This window comes from Homo sapiens, chromosome 5, assembly GCF_000001405.40.
Source record: "Homo sapiens chromosome 5, GRCh38.p14 Primary Assembly".
Lineage (NCBI taxonomy): Eukaryota > Metazoa > Chordata > Mammalia > Primates > Hominidae > Homo > Homo sapiens.
In genome coordinates this window covers 96,625,583-96,641,693 of record NC_000005.10, presented here as the reverse complement: position 1 = coordinate 96,641,693, position 16,111 = coordinate 96,625,583, and the positions used below count along the sequence as shown (strand labels likewise).

Here is a 16,111-nt window from a genome sequence, read left to right as displayed (position 1 = left end):
AGGCAGGAACTGGGGAGAGCCAGGCATGTTTCAGGATCTGAAAGTAGGAGGGCATGGCTGGAACACACTAGCCAGAAGGCAGAAGAAGGCTGTAGATGAGGCTGTGAGGTCGTAAGGGTCTAAACTCCATCCTCTTGGCATTGGGAAACCATCAAGCACTGTAAACATTGAAAAGGGACGATTCACATGGCGCTAGTTAGTTGTTGGCCCAGCAAAGAGCCCGATTCTCAAGAGTGGAGTTTTTTTCATTACCCCATACTGACCCCACATCCCACCCTCAAGAATGGAAAGCTGCAAACTTCAAGAAAATTAACAAGGAACCAGAAGATGGCTGGAAAGTTTCCATAGCCTCCTAGCAAGCAGAGGGTATTTTATACCTTCTTGCCTAGTGCAAGACCTAGAGAGGTAATTTTTATTATTATTATTATCACTAGACAAAATTAGAAAAGAAAATTTTATTTTCCCTTTATTTCTACAATTCTTAGCAATTCACAGTTGCAAAGTCGTTTCTATATCTCTAAACAGTAGTATTAATAGCATGGCTGCTCTGTGAAACAAATTATTCTCTGGTGACCCCTTTAAAGGCAAACATCATTGTAAAAGGAGGAGAAATTTAACTAATGGGTAATATTTTCAAACCTAATATTCTGTTATGTAGAAATTTGACAGTATGCTTTTGCAATATTTATTTTCTCCTTCATTCTATTTGCAAAGTTTTATGGTATTATATAGCATTGTGGAGTGTGATGGACATGATAAGCCATCCGGATCCCCCTCAGGAATAACGGAGACTTTACCTTAGTTTCTGGGAGTGCTGCCAGAAGAAAGACCTCATCTGCAAAGGTCTGCCCCCTTTGGGGATTGCTACAGCTTCAGAGAGCCACCTCCCTCTCCTAACGTCATGATTCTTCCCCATCAAGCATACCCAGTGACTAGGTGATGCAGGTATAAAAAGGCCTCCCCTGTCTCCTGAACCCTGGACAATTCTAAAGGGCATTCCATCTCCATAACTCCCCGCAGGGTTGTCTGAGGCATCTAGCAGATCTGCATCCCAGCTCAGCTCCCCTTTTTTCCATTCCTCCCTTCCCTTCCATAGGTGTTGATCCCAAGGGCTCTTGTGGAAAGGAGATACAATCTCAGTCCCCCTTGTTCACAGAGGCAAGAAGCAGGACATTTTGTCATGCTGAAGAACAAGGCCTGATGATATTTTGTAGGTGTTTTACTATCTGGAGAAGAGTAAAGCATAAAGGTTGAGAAATATTCCTGAGGGCCTGGCTCTGGGTATGTGTGTGACTTAAGTTCTTGCTTGCTAGCAGTGCAAATTCAACATATTGCATATGCTATTTATTCTCTCTTTCTTCTCTTCTTCCTTTGTCCATCCATCCTTCCATCTCTAGAGTTTTTCCTCCCCTGGCCTCATCTGCTATCCATGCATAAAGCCCAGCGTAATCCAAGAAGCACCACAAGGTCCCTGTGGCCTAAATGTATTCTCCACTGGCTAACATGCCTTCCTTTCCTTTATGCACAAAACTTACCACTAAAGCCATCCTTTTGGATAATTCAACAGCCAGAAACAAGAAGTTCCTATTCAGATACATGCATGTCACATGAGAAAAAAGGCTCTGAGAGCCTTTGCCTATTTTACTAAGTAATCTTTGCCTATTTATAAGGATTCTTTTTTTTCTGGTTTACTCAGGAAAACATCATTATGGAATGAACTTGATTGAGAGGAGATGGCAAATAGTACAGGTAAGATTGAGTGGGATTGGAGGCAACTGGATGTCAATTAGAAGGTCCAGGCTTCCTGGAGTGGCTTCTCTTCCAGGAGTGTGTGATGGTGTAGAAATAAATGCCATCCAAAGTTGAGGGAACTACCCAAACCGTGCATACTCAAACAAAACAAAACAAAATTCTGGCTCCTTCTCAGTTTTACCCACTGAGTTACCAAAAAACTCTCAGCTGTCGGATCAAAAGGATACTCATTACATACTGTCTGACATTCTTTGGGTGACTTTTTAGGTTGATATGGTCCCTGCATGGCCCATCCTCGCCTTTGAGAGGGCCCTCCTCCCGGGGCCAGGCACCACTTGTCTACGAGCTCCCTTGTGTCCCCGCAGATCCTGTTCAGGTGCCATTGACTTCTTCCCCTCTGGACTTCATTCTGCCTTTCTTTTTCTCATTTTATACATTTTCTGAGAAGAAGTGATGAGTTTCTGAACAAGTGCAGGAGCAGTGGGGATGAAGAAGAGGAGATAAAATGTGAAGATTACTTAGCACAGGGTTTCAGCTCACTCAGGCCAAACATGGGAGGAAGGAGGCCCTAAGCTCTCCTATCTCTCCAGCCAGCCCACCCCTCAGTCAGGCTCAATGAGAAGTCCATCTTGGAATCCTACAGCACTCTCCAAATACCTCTGCCTGCCTCTGCCCTCTTCCTAGGATCATGTGGCTGTGATTATCTACTGTACATTGGTCACAGTATGGGGGGCCCTGTAGTTCAGGCTTCAAGGTGCTTGCACACCTTCACTGGATTAGGATGATTTTCATCTTTTTCAGATGAACGGGATGAGTAAGTCTAGAAATAGGAGTTATATACAATGTTGGTATATGATCTAATGATGTAGGACAAGGAACAGGGCCAAATGCCAACACATGGGCTGAATATCAAAAGATGGAAAAGATCCCGAGAAGATAGGAGGCCACCTCTGAGGACTAGTGTGTCTAGAGAAGGGATGAAGTCCTCTGAGGCAGGCTGTCTCTCTTTGAAAACAATGTCCTTAGGTGCTGCGGTAGAGAGAAGGAGATGAAACTGAGAAGGGATAGGGAAGTTCTGCAGTGGTAAAAGTTTGTTCTGCAACTTATTTGTGTTTCATTTAGAAAGGAATCCTTGGAATTAGATGGAACTGACACAAAATTTTGAGGCCCATGAACTTAAGAGGCCCACGGGAGGAGAAAGTTTCCTTATTGTTGACAACAGCCATGAATATGTTGGCTGAGAGGGACTTTGAGAGTTGAGCTGCTTATGGTGTTCTTACTGGTATATCAGAACAAAATCGTTCAAGCCCATGAATCAGAAGATAAGGGAAGGAGAAAACTTCAGCTGCCTTGTGTAACCCTAACCTTGCATGCACTGGCACAAAAAACACCAAGGTGTTTGGGGGAGGTCTAGAGGATCCCCAGAAGAATGTCAAAGGCTTTTCCTATGGAAGAGAAGCAATTTGGATGAAGGGCCTAGTAATGCCATTGCTTACAGATGTGCATTTTTTTGTTTGTTTGTTTTTTGTTTTCTTTGAGATGGAGTCTCGCTCTGTTGCCTAGGCTGGAGTGCAGTGGCATGATCTTGGCTCACTGCAACCTCCACCTCCTGGGTTCATGAGATTCTCCTGCCTCAGCCTCCCTAGTAGCTGGGATTACAGGCGTGTACCACCACGGCTGGCTAATTTTTTTTTTTTTAATAGAGGCAGGGTTTCACAATGTTGGCCAGGCTGACCTTGAACTCCTGACCTCAAGTGATCTGCCAGCCTCGGCCTCCCAAAGTGCTGGGATTACAGGCATGAGCCACCACACCAGGCCCAAAAGGGCATTTTGCTTAGTGCATAAAAACACCCAGATGAAGGGCCCAACCTCTTCCTTGCCAAGCTGCATGCCATGCTCAAAACTTCACTTAGTCAGAGAAATTGACTTTTCTCAGTTAGTCTAGTCAGGGGAGAAGTTTTTCCAAAATTTGCACTCAGGGTTTCCAAAAGATAGTGGTGGTCCAGGGATCCAGCCATCTCTTTCCAAAGCCCAGTCACACTTCTTCTTGCACTATGAACACAGTATCTAAGGCCAATCTTTAAATCTTTGAATTTATTTAGATAGACAAAATATTGTATGTTTCTTAAATTATCATATATTTCTTAAATAGTAAAATTTACTTATTTGGTAAGACATTGTTTTGCCCAAAAATGCAACTAGTGATTAATAAAAAAGAAAAATCTGTATTTAGAAGAGAAAATAAGCTATTTAGCTTTTATGGATTTTAGTTTTATGTTATTTTTCTGGGAAGGTATCTTTACCCTAACTCTTAAGAGTTGGTAACATGATAGCAATCTAATTTCTAAAGGATCATTAAGCCAGCCAGTCTTCATCTGTTTAATGTCACTTTCGGGTGCTTGAATTTCTTTGATTACTTGCCATACAACAGTTCACCATAGGAAGTTATTTGCAAAATGTGCCCTAAGAAGCTGAATTCATTTACCCACTCACAGACTAGAATTACTGAAAATGGAACACTGGAATGTTGGAAAGCCACATTCCAGAAAGGTAGTATAAATCCATGGTTACATATGGTGCTCTGGGGCTAAACCTCTGAGTTGCCTTGTGAACATACTAGCTTGAGCAAGCTACCTGGCCTCCCTGTGCTTTAGTTTCTCATTTGTGAAATGGAACTACCCCTTATATGGTTGCTACAAAAATTAGCTGAGAAAATAAATGTAAAGTGTTTAGACTTGCACCTGACACATAGTAAATATAGTAATAAAATTACATTAGCAACAGAACAACTAATATTGAGCTGACCTAAGACGTAATTGGCCAAGCCTCAGAGCACTATATTCTGTCCTGATGCTGCTCCTCATGCTGAGCCTGCAACTCTTTCATAGTCACAGTAATGGTCTTGAACACATGGAGAGGCAGAGAGGGAACCCCAGAGGGGGGACTGTGATCTATTCCAGCTCTGACCCCCCTGCCAGGATCTGCTGAAGCTGCACCTCCACCTCCCCCAACACCGCATCTTGACCCCCAACCCTTATCCTTCTGCTCCCCACGAGTGATGTGATGTTAGATGTGGCTACTCAGGTTCAGCAGCTCCAGAGTGCAGCAGAACTTGTCATCCTTCCCACACTTCTGCAAATGTCGTAAGGGAATCCCAGAAGCCACATCTGAGCCCTTTCCCCCACCAGCCACAGCCACCACTGACCAGTTTTCCTTCTGAATGTACATTTGAAAGCGATTCCAAATGCTACTCAACCTTTCATTCATTTAAAATTTCAACATTTTTATTTTACTTTTTTGTTTTCTTTTTATTATTCCCAAATCTAACAAAGTATTTTAATATTAGGGGATCAGCAGCACAAATCTAAGGGTATCTGAAGAATTTTATCATTTTTTTTTGCCAAATAAAATGGTAGTCCATAATACTAAGCCATCAGCGCCACTGATGACAGCTAAAGAAAATTTATGGGACATCTTAAGGAATCAGAGAAGGCTTTGGACATAGATGGGAAATGCCTGTATTTAAATAGATTTTTGACCCTAAAATTGGAATCATTTCCTTTAGTATAAAGTAAGGGTGGACAGGCCATTGTGAATACCAAATTTTTCCCACTAGTAATGAGTCCATCCCTCGAGTGCTGCTATGTGTCAGGAGCTTAACAATGTATTAGACACATCTTATTATACTCATTATCAGATGAGGAAACAGGCTAAAAGGTCAAGCCACAGCTAGCATTTGATGACATGAGGCCTTAAAAAGTGAACATTAGCTTCTATAGAGTGCTTACTATGGAGCAAACTCAGTGGGGAGTACTTTTTATAATTCCCACACAGCAAACTTATGAGGTTGGTACTATCACTATTATTAATTTTTGCAGATGAGGAAGTAGAGTCACAGAGGAATCAAGTTGGAATTCTAAGATTGTTTAGCTCTCAACGCTTGCTTCTTCCACATGGCTGTATTCCTAGATGAAATGGAAATTGACATTTCCAAGATTAAACACTAGTTATTGAGAGAAGCCAGGGTTCTAGGAAGTAGTAGGGAAGAAGAATTGATGATAGGGAAAAATAGAAAGAAGCCATCTAAATTTATCTATTGTGAGCCACAATGAAGAATCTTTAAAATAACCTGAAGTGGAAGCAATTGTCTAACTAAGCACAGATGAGAGTCATTTAATAGTTCAAAAAGGCAACTGAATGGCAATAGCTCAGTTTTGGAGGAGCTAGTGAAATTGGCTATGAACATTGACTGTTTGTGATTTTCACTAGGACAGAACAAATGCACAGGGCTTAGATAGGTCACAATGAGAGATACTTCAGTACACTAGTAGCAAGATTTTCTGATGCGAATGTTGCTGTGGAATTGAAAAGTTACCAGAGAGATTACATCTATATAGCTAGAAACTTTAAAATACAGCTTTAAACCAGTATTGGATGGCTTATCTCTTATCCTGCCTCAACCCAGAGAGATGGAGTCAGCCATTCAAGATCCCATCCAACCTCTTGATTATATGAAACATCCCGAATTCCCAATCAATTAGGAGAGGAGTATCTAGACTTTCCTTCAATGTGTGCATAACAACACTTGTTCTTTCTAGGCTTTCTTATCCTCTCCCCTTAAAAAGAGAGAGTTTGAATCTGGAAACAAAGAGAATAGCAAAGTCTATGTAATTTGATCCCATTTCCTATTATCTCCTTGTTATGCCACAGCAAAAATGCCTTTCTCAGGTAAAGAAGTTTCAAATCTCCTCATCCTTTAGAACATCAAGACCCATTTCTAGGTGCAATGTCTCTGCTCACATTGCTCTCCCTTGCCTGGGATGCTCTTTCTCTTAGGAAATCCACCCACCTACTGTGTCATGTTCTACCCAGTGTTCAAGGTCTCACTCTAATCATAGAGCCTCTAGTCATACTCTTCTGAGAATTTCTCTGATACTGTAAGTCTGTATCACAGTCTATTGCTGAATTACGTTGTTTGTGATTCTTTGGCATTATACAATATCCATCTTTCCAACCAGATTGTGAGTTCTTTAAGAAATCTTACCCAGTGCTCTTCTGAATCTCCCAAATCGCACAGTCAGAATGCAAAGATTTTGTTGTTGTTGTTGTTTTTAGTCACAAATAGTTTTGAGAACTTATTTTCAGTCTTGAGTTTTCATGAGCTTAAAAATTAAAAATACTAAAAATGCACAGGGGTTAGGTAGGGATTATTATATCCTTGCAGAATATATTAGGAATTAGTCAAACTGCAAACTGTGTTGGGCACAACATTATCTCATTGCAGAGGCAACACTATCTGATGATTTTTACTGAAAGGATTTGGAATGGAGATGCCCTTGACATTTTCATGTAGGCATCCAGGAAAGATTCAGGAAATGAGGCTGCTCCTGTCCTCTGAAGCTCCAATTCTCTGGTCCCCTATGTCAAGATAAGAGTCCATTCTGCTGGAATCAGTTCATCTGAAGTTTAAGTGTAGAAAGAATGTTGTATAATGAAAAAGAAGGAAGAGAAGAAAAACTAACATATGTGAATATGTATTTGCCAGGAGCTTTATATACATAATTTCATAGAATCTTCACAACAATCTTGCATTGTAGAACTCTGAATGTCATGAAGATCAGATGATGTGCACAATCAATGAGTAGAAGAACAAGCAGTTGAAGCCCTTTCACTCTTGTTGATCTCTATGATAAAGGTTAAGCCAACTGAAAAACATACTGAAAGCAAAATGAAATATACACACTCCACAAAAGAAATCTGCACATTCTTCTGAAATCAAAGCACTGTTTTGTATACTTACAGAAGATTAGTAAGTACGTTATGTCGTCAGTCAGCACAACCACAATAGACACAGTATAAAACTCGGTTTTTCTCAAAGAATTTATACTAGGCTAGACTGAACCCAGAGACATATTGAGGAAATAAAAAAATCACTTCTCTCCATTTGCAAAACAGTTTTGGGAAGTCAGGATGAGTCATGAGTTGTTCTAATTGGCTGGAAAATTAGGGAAGAGATATACACTGGCTGTGAGTAAAAGGAGAGGATAGATTTTAACAGGGGAAGGCCTGAAACACCATCTCTCAGAACGACTGATGTAGAGTGTGTTTCTGGGTGAAGCTGAACCTTTCGCTAGAATTATCAAGAAAACATCAAACCCATCTTTTCCCTCTAGCTAGCTTCATTCCTAGGCTTTGCTATTTCTGTTCACACTTTGTCCTGGGTGAAGAAAGGGAACAGAACATGATGGTCTTTGCCCACAAGCAAGGGAAATTGGCATAAATAAATAGGGCCTTAATAAATTGGCCTTTGGAATATTGTAATATGTTATAATACAGGTATCTGCCAGGTGGAGACATGACATTGAATGGAGTTGTCAATTCTCACTTAGGGGAACTAAAGGTCAGGGGGTTTTACCTGAGAGAAGATACTAATCTGAAAGTCCTATTAAGAAAACATTCAATTTAAATGGCATCAAAAGAATTAAAAAATAACCTTAGAAAAAATATTTAACAAAAGAACTGCAAGGCTTATACACTGAAAACTACAAAACATTACTGAAAGAAATTAAAGAAGACCTAAATACATGGAAAAACATATTGTGTTCATGGATTGGAAGAGATGCTATTGTTAATACGGCAATACTATTTAAATTGATCTATAGAATGGCCAGGAGCAGTGGCTCATGCCTGTAATCCCTGCACTTTGGGAGGCTGAGGCAGGTGGATCACCTGAGGTCGGTCAGGAGTTCCAGACCAGCTTGACCAACATGATGAAACCCCATCTCTATTAAAAATACAAAAAATTAGCCGGGCATGGTGGCGGGCACCTGTAATCCCAGCTACTCAGGAGGCTGAGGCAGGAGAATCACTTGAACCCAGGTGGCAGAAGTTTCAGTGAGCTGAGATTGCGCCACTGCACTCCAGCCTAGGCAACTAGAGCAAAATTCTGTCTCAAAAACAGAACAAAACAAACCAAAAACTTTAAAAAAATGACATATGGAATAAATGCAATCCCTATCAAATTTCCAACGGCAAGGGACACAAAATAGGAAAAACAATTTTGAAAAATAAGAGCAAAGTTGGAGAACTCACACTTCCCAATTTAAAACTTACTATCAATACAGCGTGCTACTGTCATACAGATAGAAATATAGACCAATGGAATAGAACTGCGAGTCCACACATAAACCACATGTTTATGGTCAATTGATTTTGACAAGGGTGCTGAAAGAATTTAATGAGAAGGAAGAAATAGTCTTTTCGACAAATAGCGCTGAGACCACTGAATATCCACATGCAAAAAAATAAATTAGCACTCTGTTCTCACCCTGTATATAAAACTCAAAAGATCAAAGACTCATAAGAGCAAAAGCTATAAAACTCTTCGAAGAAATATAAATGGAAATCTTTAAGACCTGGGATTAGCAAATGGTTTTTTAGATAAGACACCAAACACACAAGCAATTAAAAATATGTGTGTGTATAAAATATATTTCTTTATATTTATTTATCTTAGTATATTTATATATAAAATTGACAAAGCACAATTTTTATATATAAATTTTTATATATAAAAATTGGGCTTCATCAAAATTAAAAAATTTTGTGTGTCAAAGGACACTGTCAAGAAAGTGAGAAGACAACTCATAGAATGGGAAAAAGTATTTGCAAATTATACATCTCATAAGAGTATAGTATCTATAGTATCCAGAATACATCAACAACTCTTCCAACTCAAAAACAGAAAGACAACCCAATTAAAATCAGCAAAGTACTTAAATGGACATTTCTCCAAAGAATATATACTATACAAATGACTGACAAGCACATGAAAGGTGATCAACATAATTAGTCATTATGATGCTACATCACTTCATACCCACTAGGATAGCTATAATAATAATAATAATAATAATTTTTAAAAGGACAATAACAAGTGTTGGCGAGGATGTGGACAAATTGGAATATTCATACATTGCAGGTAGGACTGTAAAATGGTACAGCCCCTGTGAAAAACAGCTTGGCTGTTCCTCAAAAAGTTAAACATAGAATTACCATATGACCCGGCAATTCCACTCCTAAATATATACCTGAGAGAATGAAAACAAGCAGTCGGGCGCAGTGGCTCACGCCTGTAATCCCAGCACTTTGGGAGGCCGAGGCGGGTGGATCACGAGGTCGGGATATCGAGACCATCCTGGCTAACACGGTGAAACCCCATCTCTACTAAAAATACAAAAAATTATCCGGGCGTGGTGGCGGGCGCCTGTGGTCCCAGCTACTCGGGGAGCCAAGATCTCACCACTGCACTCCAGCCTGGGAGACAGAGCAAGACTCCGTCTCAAAAAAAAAAAAAAGTATTCACAGAAAAACTTTTACACAAACGTTCACAGCAGCATTATTCACAATAGCCAAAAGTGAAAGTAACCTAAATGCCCATCAGCTAATGAATAAATAAAATGAAATCCATACAATGGGATGTTATTTAATCATAAAAAGGAGTAAAGTACTGATACATGCTACATGAATAAAACTTGAAAATATTACACTAAATGAAAGGAGTCAGACAAAAAAGGACACATATTTTATGATTACATTTGTATTAAATGTCCAAAATAGCCAAATTTATAGAGATAGAAAGTAGATTAGTGGTTGCCAGGGCATGGGAATAGAGGTGAATTGGGACTAATTGCTGACAGGTCCTAGTGTCCTTTTTGGGGTGATGAAAATGTTCTGGAGTTAGATAGTGGTGATGGTTGTACAACAGAGTGAACTTGCTTTAAGATGGTGGATTTTATGTCCTGTGAAGTATATGTCAATTTAAAAAATGCTACTTAAAAAGGAGGAGATGCTTACATTGAGTCTTTAAGAAAGGAAGGCTCCTGTGAATGGACAATGAAGAAATATATTCTAGCTGAAGGATATCAAATGTCCAAAAGCACAGTGCCATGAAGCAATGCAGTCAGGTGGAGACTCTGTAAGAGATTATTTAAAAAAATTTTTTTTAGTATACAAGAATCAATTGTAGACCAAAACAAAACAACCTTTCTTTCTTTTCCTTTCCTTTTCTTCTTCCTTCCTTCCTTCCTTTCTTTCTTTCCTTCTTTCTCTCTCTCTTTCTTTCGAGTATGATACTTCATTATTTTATTTTATTTTGAGATGGAGTCTTGCTCTGTCCCCCAGGCTGGAGTGCAGTGGCACAATCTTGGCTCACTGCAACCTCCGCCTCCCAGGTTCAAGCAATCCTCCCACCTCAGCCTCCCAAGTAGCTGGGATTACAGGCATGCACCACAACAACTGGCTAATTTTGTATTTTTAGTAGAGACGAGGTTTCACCATATTGGTCTGGCTGGTCTCGAACTCCTGACCTCAGGTGATCCACCCTCCTCAGCCTCCCAAAGTGCTGGGATTACAGGTATGAGCCACCGCACCTGGCCTCAAGGGAGTATGATACTTTATTCACTTGTTTAGAAGTTAGTTTTCTTCCCTCCTGTATTTTAATGCTTAGCTCAGAAGTAACTTACTTGTTCAGTAAACAAAGAATGATTTGATGTAGCCTCTCTGCCTCGAATGCTCTTTCCTGACTCTCCCATGGCTTGTGTTTTCTTATTTTTCAGGCCCAACTTAGTCTTTTTCTAGAGAAGACTTCCCTGATAGCTAAGTATTAATAGATTCCCACTTATCACCTTCATTTTTCCGTCACTGCATTCTGTTAGTATCCTGCATGGCTAATTATGGTTAATTGCTTCTTTGCTGGATTTTTGTCTCTAACCATAGACTGTAAGCTCGGAAGACAGAGAACATGATTGTTTTATTCAATGATACATCCCCAGTTCTTAGGACAGTGCTCCATAAATATTATTTGAATGAATGACTAATTGAGAAGACAGGAAGCTGTGACAGATATCTCAAGCCTTCTCAGGTTACAGGCAGGCCCAGAAGTGGCCTGGAATTGCCTTGTTCTGTAATCCTGTTGAGTCTAGTCCACCGTACTGCAGGCTTAGCTGGTTTAGGGCTTGGCTGTGGTTTAAATCTGTGTTTGCAAATTCATAGTACTTCATAGAAGAAGAAATTCATCTCTGCCAAAATCAACACTAAATAAGTGCTGTGGTACATTGCTTAGCCTGATTAATCAAGTTTAGGCAGAGAGTGATGAAGAAAACATTTCTCCCAGACAGCAGAGCAGTGGGTTTTAAAGGTGGGAGGTGAACAAACCCATGTTGCTTGAATCAGATGCTGATAGGGAGGGTTAAAGAATGAGATTGGAAGGAAAGATTGAGATATAAGTTACAGTTTGATTTCAAGTTGGTTGGCCTAAGACCCTCCTGTTTAGCACTATGTTCACTGTCTGAAAGAAACTGAGGCAAAGTGCCAACCCATACTTTTTAGCAAGAAGATGCTGAGACAGAGTTTGTGGTACAAGATATTTATAAGGAATTAATACCTGCGAATGGAAGAAGGACTCAGCTGTGGGAGAAACTGAACCAAAATGGAGGCTTGGCAAAGTCTTGGCCCACCCAGAGGGGAGCGCTGGAAAGAATACTGTCTTAGCCTATTTTCTGTGGCTATAACAGAAGAACACCAGCTGGGGAATTTATATAGAACAGAAGTTTATTCAGCTCATGGTTCTGGAGAATGGGAAGCCCAAGAGCAAGGCACTAGCATCTGGTGAGCCATCTCATGGCTAAAAGGTGGAAGGTAGAAGCGAACACTCACCATAGAGAGAGGTACCAGAGGCTGGACTCGCTTTATATCAACCCACTCCCAGGATAACAACATTGATCCATTCATGCAAGCTCTGCCCTTGTGACCCAATTATCTTTTATTAGGCTCCACCTCCAAACACTGTTGTATCGGGTTTAAGGCATTTATAAGGAATTAATACTTGTGAATGGAAGCAGGATTCAGCTGTGGGAGAAACTGAACGAAAATGGAGGCTTGGCAAAGCCTTGGCCCACCCAGAGGGGAGCTGTTTCCATCACATGAACTTTTGGGGGATACATTCAAACCACAGCAAGTATGTGCATCAGAATTGCCACACATCCTGCAAAATGGCTGGGCCTTTATGACCCCCCGCCCCTCATGTCCTCTATTCAGTAGCCATATGCACAAGATATTTGCTCGTTGATTATGTGCTAATCGTGCAGGGAAACAACATCCATACTTGCTTCCTAATTTGGGTTCTGAAGGTTAAACTAATTTGGTAACTTTGCAAAAGCCACATATCTGTGACTTAGATGATCTCTGACTATTATTATCCTCCCTTCACTGATGAGGAGGTAGGGGTGGGTGGTGGTAAGTGGTGAATGTCGCTTAAGGACCTTATAGCTAGCAAATGGCAGAGACAAGCTTGGGGCAGATCTGTCTGGCTGGCTCTAAGCCCAGATACTTTTAACTATGTCACCCAGCCCCCCAGATTCTTAAAACAAGGAGGTTGGTTAGATACTTTCTAAATTTTCTCCTATTTTTAATGTTGCATGTGTTATTAGGGCACGTTTCAAGGACTTTAGGGTTATTGTCATGTATAAATGTAAACTTTGCTGAGTTCATCTACACAATGTGAATGCTGTGTGTTTATAGAAGAGTTGAACTCATTATTGCCATTCTTGCTCAGAAGTCTGAGTAGCAAGATGCTGGCATTTTCTTTTGAATACCAAACATTTTGGCCATAGGGCAGTGTCTGACCTGCTAAAGTTATATATTTATTAACCTTTTTTCCTCCATAGGGCATTTTTAATAAGTTATCAAACTTTTCCATGCATGCCATTACAAAAGAGGCCTTTGTGTGGTGAATGATAAGCAGATGATTAAGTAAAGTTTTTCTTCACTGAAACAGCACTTTAAAAGGATGCTTAACAAACAATATTTAAAAGGATTTACTGTATTTCCTTTCTAAATGTTTGTATAAGAGAGGGTGGCATTTATTTCCACATTCAACAAACATTCTGTTTCTACAACAGAATCACAGATGTCAATCAACGGAGCAACAAATATTCTGCCTTCACTTTGTAGGGTAAGGCACATGACTAGCGAAATGAAAATGAAAGCATGGCAAATAAAGGCAGGTTTCACCTGGAGGGTTTACTTTGTGACTATGAAACTCTGGGCTTCTAAGGGATAGGACTTGAAAATTTTCTAATGCCTTCCAGTAGTTTCCAAGGGACGTGAAGAACCAATTACCTATCTAGGTTCCTCTCCTTCTCTCATCTTCCTCCTCATAAATCACACAAGTCCAGGAGAGTGTAAAGACATTTATATTTCTGTGCACTGAGCAAACCTTTCTTTCCGTAAACAGGAGTTTGTTAAGGAAGTATTCTCCTCTTAAGAAAATTGGAACAACACAGTTTTTTACATTTTTATAGCTTTCTAAGATTTTTCACAAGGTGGATCCCAAATTTTTAGGTTTCACAGACTAGTAAAATTATCAAAAAATGTCTGACTTTGTATTTTGCCAGATAATGGTATTTGAGAGAGAAAAAGTTATATGTAACATCACCATTATTTATGAAAATAAAAGGTCATGATCATGGTCAAGGGGGTCATTTTACATAAAAGGTCTTTTAAATAGCCCAAAATTGACTCTTTGGAAAACTCTGCTGTCCAAAATTTTCGCCTTCTGCAGAGTTGTAGACACTTTCTCAAAAACTTTCATAATCACCCTCTAGAGTAGGCAAAGCATATATTGTTCTCATCTTGCCTGTTAAGAAATGTGTGCTAAGAGGTACGAAGTAACTAGTTGAAAATCACAACTATGTTGTGGTAGACCTCAAAGTTGAATGGAGCCATTGGACTCCTATCTTCCTCATTCTGCAATACTGCCTCCTGGAATGCTATTTCAATTGTTTCCCAGTTTCTCATGCATTTTTAACCTTGACATGTAGCTGTTCCCACATATTCTTTGTTTCCCTGTGAGCTGACTTTAGAATGATGTCTGTATACTTATTTGTATTCTCCCAAACAAAATATTCATGGTAAAAATATTAGAAAGCAATGCAGAATTTACTGAAAATTGTGTAGCAAAGATAAAGGATAGAGCTTATATCATAAACCTGCCGTCAAACTCTGCCAGACCTCATTTATTTAACAAATGTTGATGGAGCTCTTGCTGTGCGTGGGTACTGTCCCAGGCCTCGGCGATGGAAGGACAGGGCTCCTGATAACATAGTTTCTGCTTTGTTTAATTTTAGCGGAGAACAGCAATCTAGATAGCATTGGAGAAAAACTGTCATGAAGAAAATTAAATGGTAACATGGTAAGAATGGCTGGAAGCAAGGGGCTTTGTGGAAAGTGGTTAGGGAGACTCTCCCTGGCAGGGATGTTGGATCTGGGCTCTGACCCTGACAATAAGCAGTCCTGAGAAGATGGGAGGAGGTGGGGCTTCATCAGAGGAATCAGGAAACAGGACACTGACACTGCCAGGAGGGAGCGCATCCATGCATTTGAAGGCAAAGCAGGCCCAAGTGAGGAAGAGGGAGGGCAGGAGGAATGAGGATGGAGGGTGGAGCAGCATCCAGACCAAGAGGCCTGTGTCAGTTATGGTGCATTCATATGATGTTTCAAGAGTGATGGGAAGCTGTAGATGAGAGAGGACCTTACCTAATTTAATGCTTTGTTTTAATCACCCTCGGGAGTAAGAGAGGCAGCAGGGGAATCAGGTCATCATGGTGGACAATGATGGTGCCTTGGCCATTGGTGGTAGCACAGGAAAAAGGACAGCCTGATCTCTGATCTGTCCTCCAAAGGCTACAGGCCCCTTGCACTAGTGTGAGCTCAGGTTCTCATGTAGGTTCTCTTCCTCAGTGCATCAGTCCTTATTGGAGAAGCAGATGCCAGGATGAGATTAGATATGCCAGAGATTTATTAGGGGAAAGTGTCCGTGGAGGATAAAGGGGAAGAGGGAGGACAAGGCGGACACGGCCTTCAGACTACAATGCAGGCCTGACTCCTGAGGAGGATGGGAGGAAGACTGGTCAGGGGTCTCAGACTGCAGGCAGTTCTGGACGTCTCAGCTGGGTTGATGGGGAGTCCAGGAGGAGTGAGTTCGCATTGGAAGTGTCTTGCAAGGGGCAGGGATAGGCCTGCACTGCTACCTTCACCATGCTCAGCCGGTGACAGGCAGCAGACAGGAAAAGTATGACAAGTATGACCTCAGCACAAAAACTGCAGTGCATCCAACGAAGCTGCAACCGGGGCTGTCAGCCATCTGTCCTTCCCAAGACAGATTCTGTATTATGCACCCAAAAGGGACTAAAAAGAAATAAAAACAAAATGCAATTTTGTATTATGTCACTTTCATTTCTAGTACATTTTGCATACAATAGCAACCTTTGCTAAGGAATGTTACAGCTTTTCACTCTTC

The 16,111-nt window shown here is 40.6% G+C and overlaps 1 protein-coding gene and 1 long non-coding RNA gene across 12 annotated transcripts in view; both read right to left on the bottom strand.

The window, feature by feature from the left end:
* CAST (calpastatin) overlaps positions 1-16,111 on the bottom strand; it is an 813,255-nt gene that overhangs the window by 132,990 nt on the left and 664,154 nt on the right. The gene's annotated exons all lie outside the window — the stretch shown is intronic.
* LOC101929710 (uncharacterized) overlaps positions 10,609-16,111 on the bottom strand; it is a 669,085-nt gene continuing 663,582 nt past the window's right edge. Inside the window, exon 5 of the long non-coding RNA NR_130776.1 lies at positions 10,609-10,727. This is a non-coding gene — a long non-coding RNA (uncharacterized LOC101929710). The remainder of the gene's footprint in view (positions 10,728-16,111) is intronic.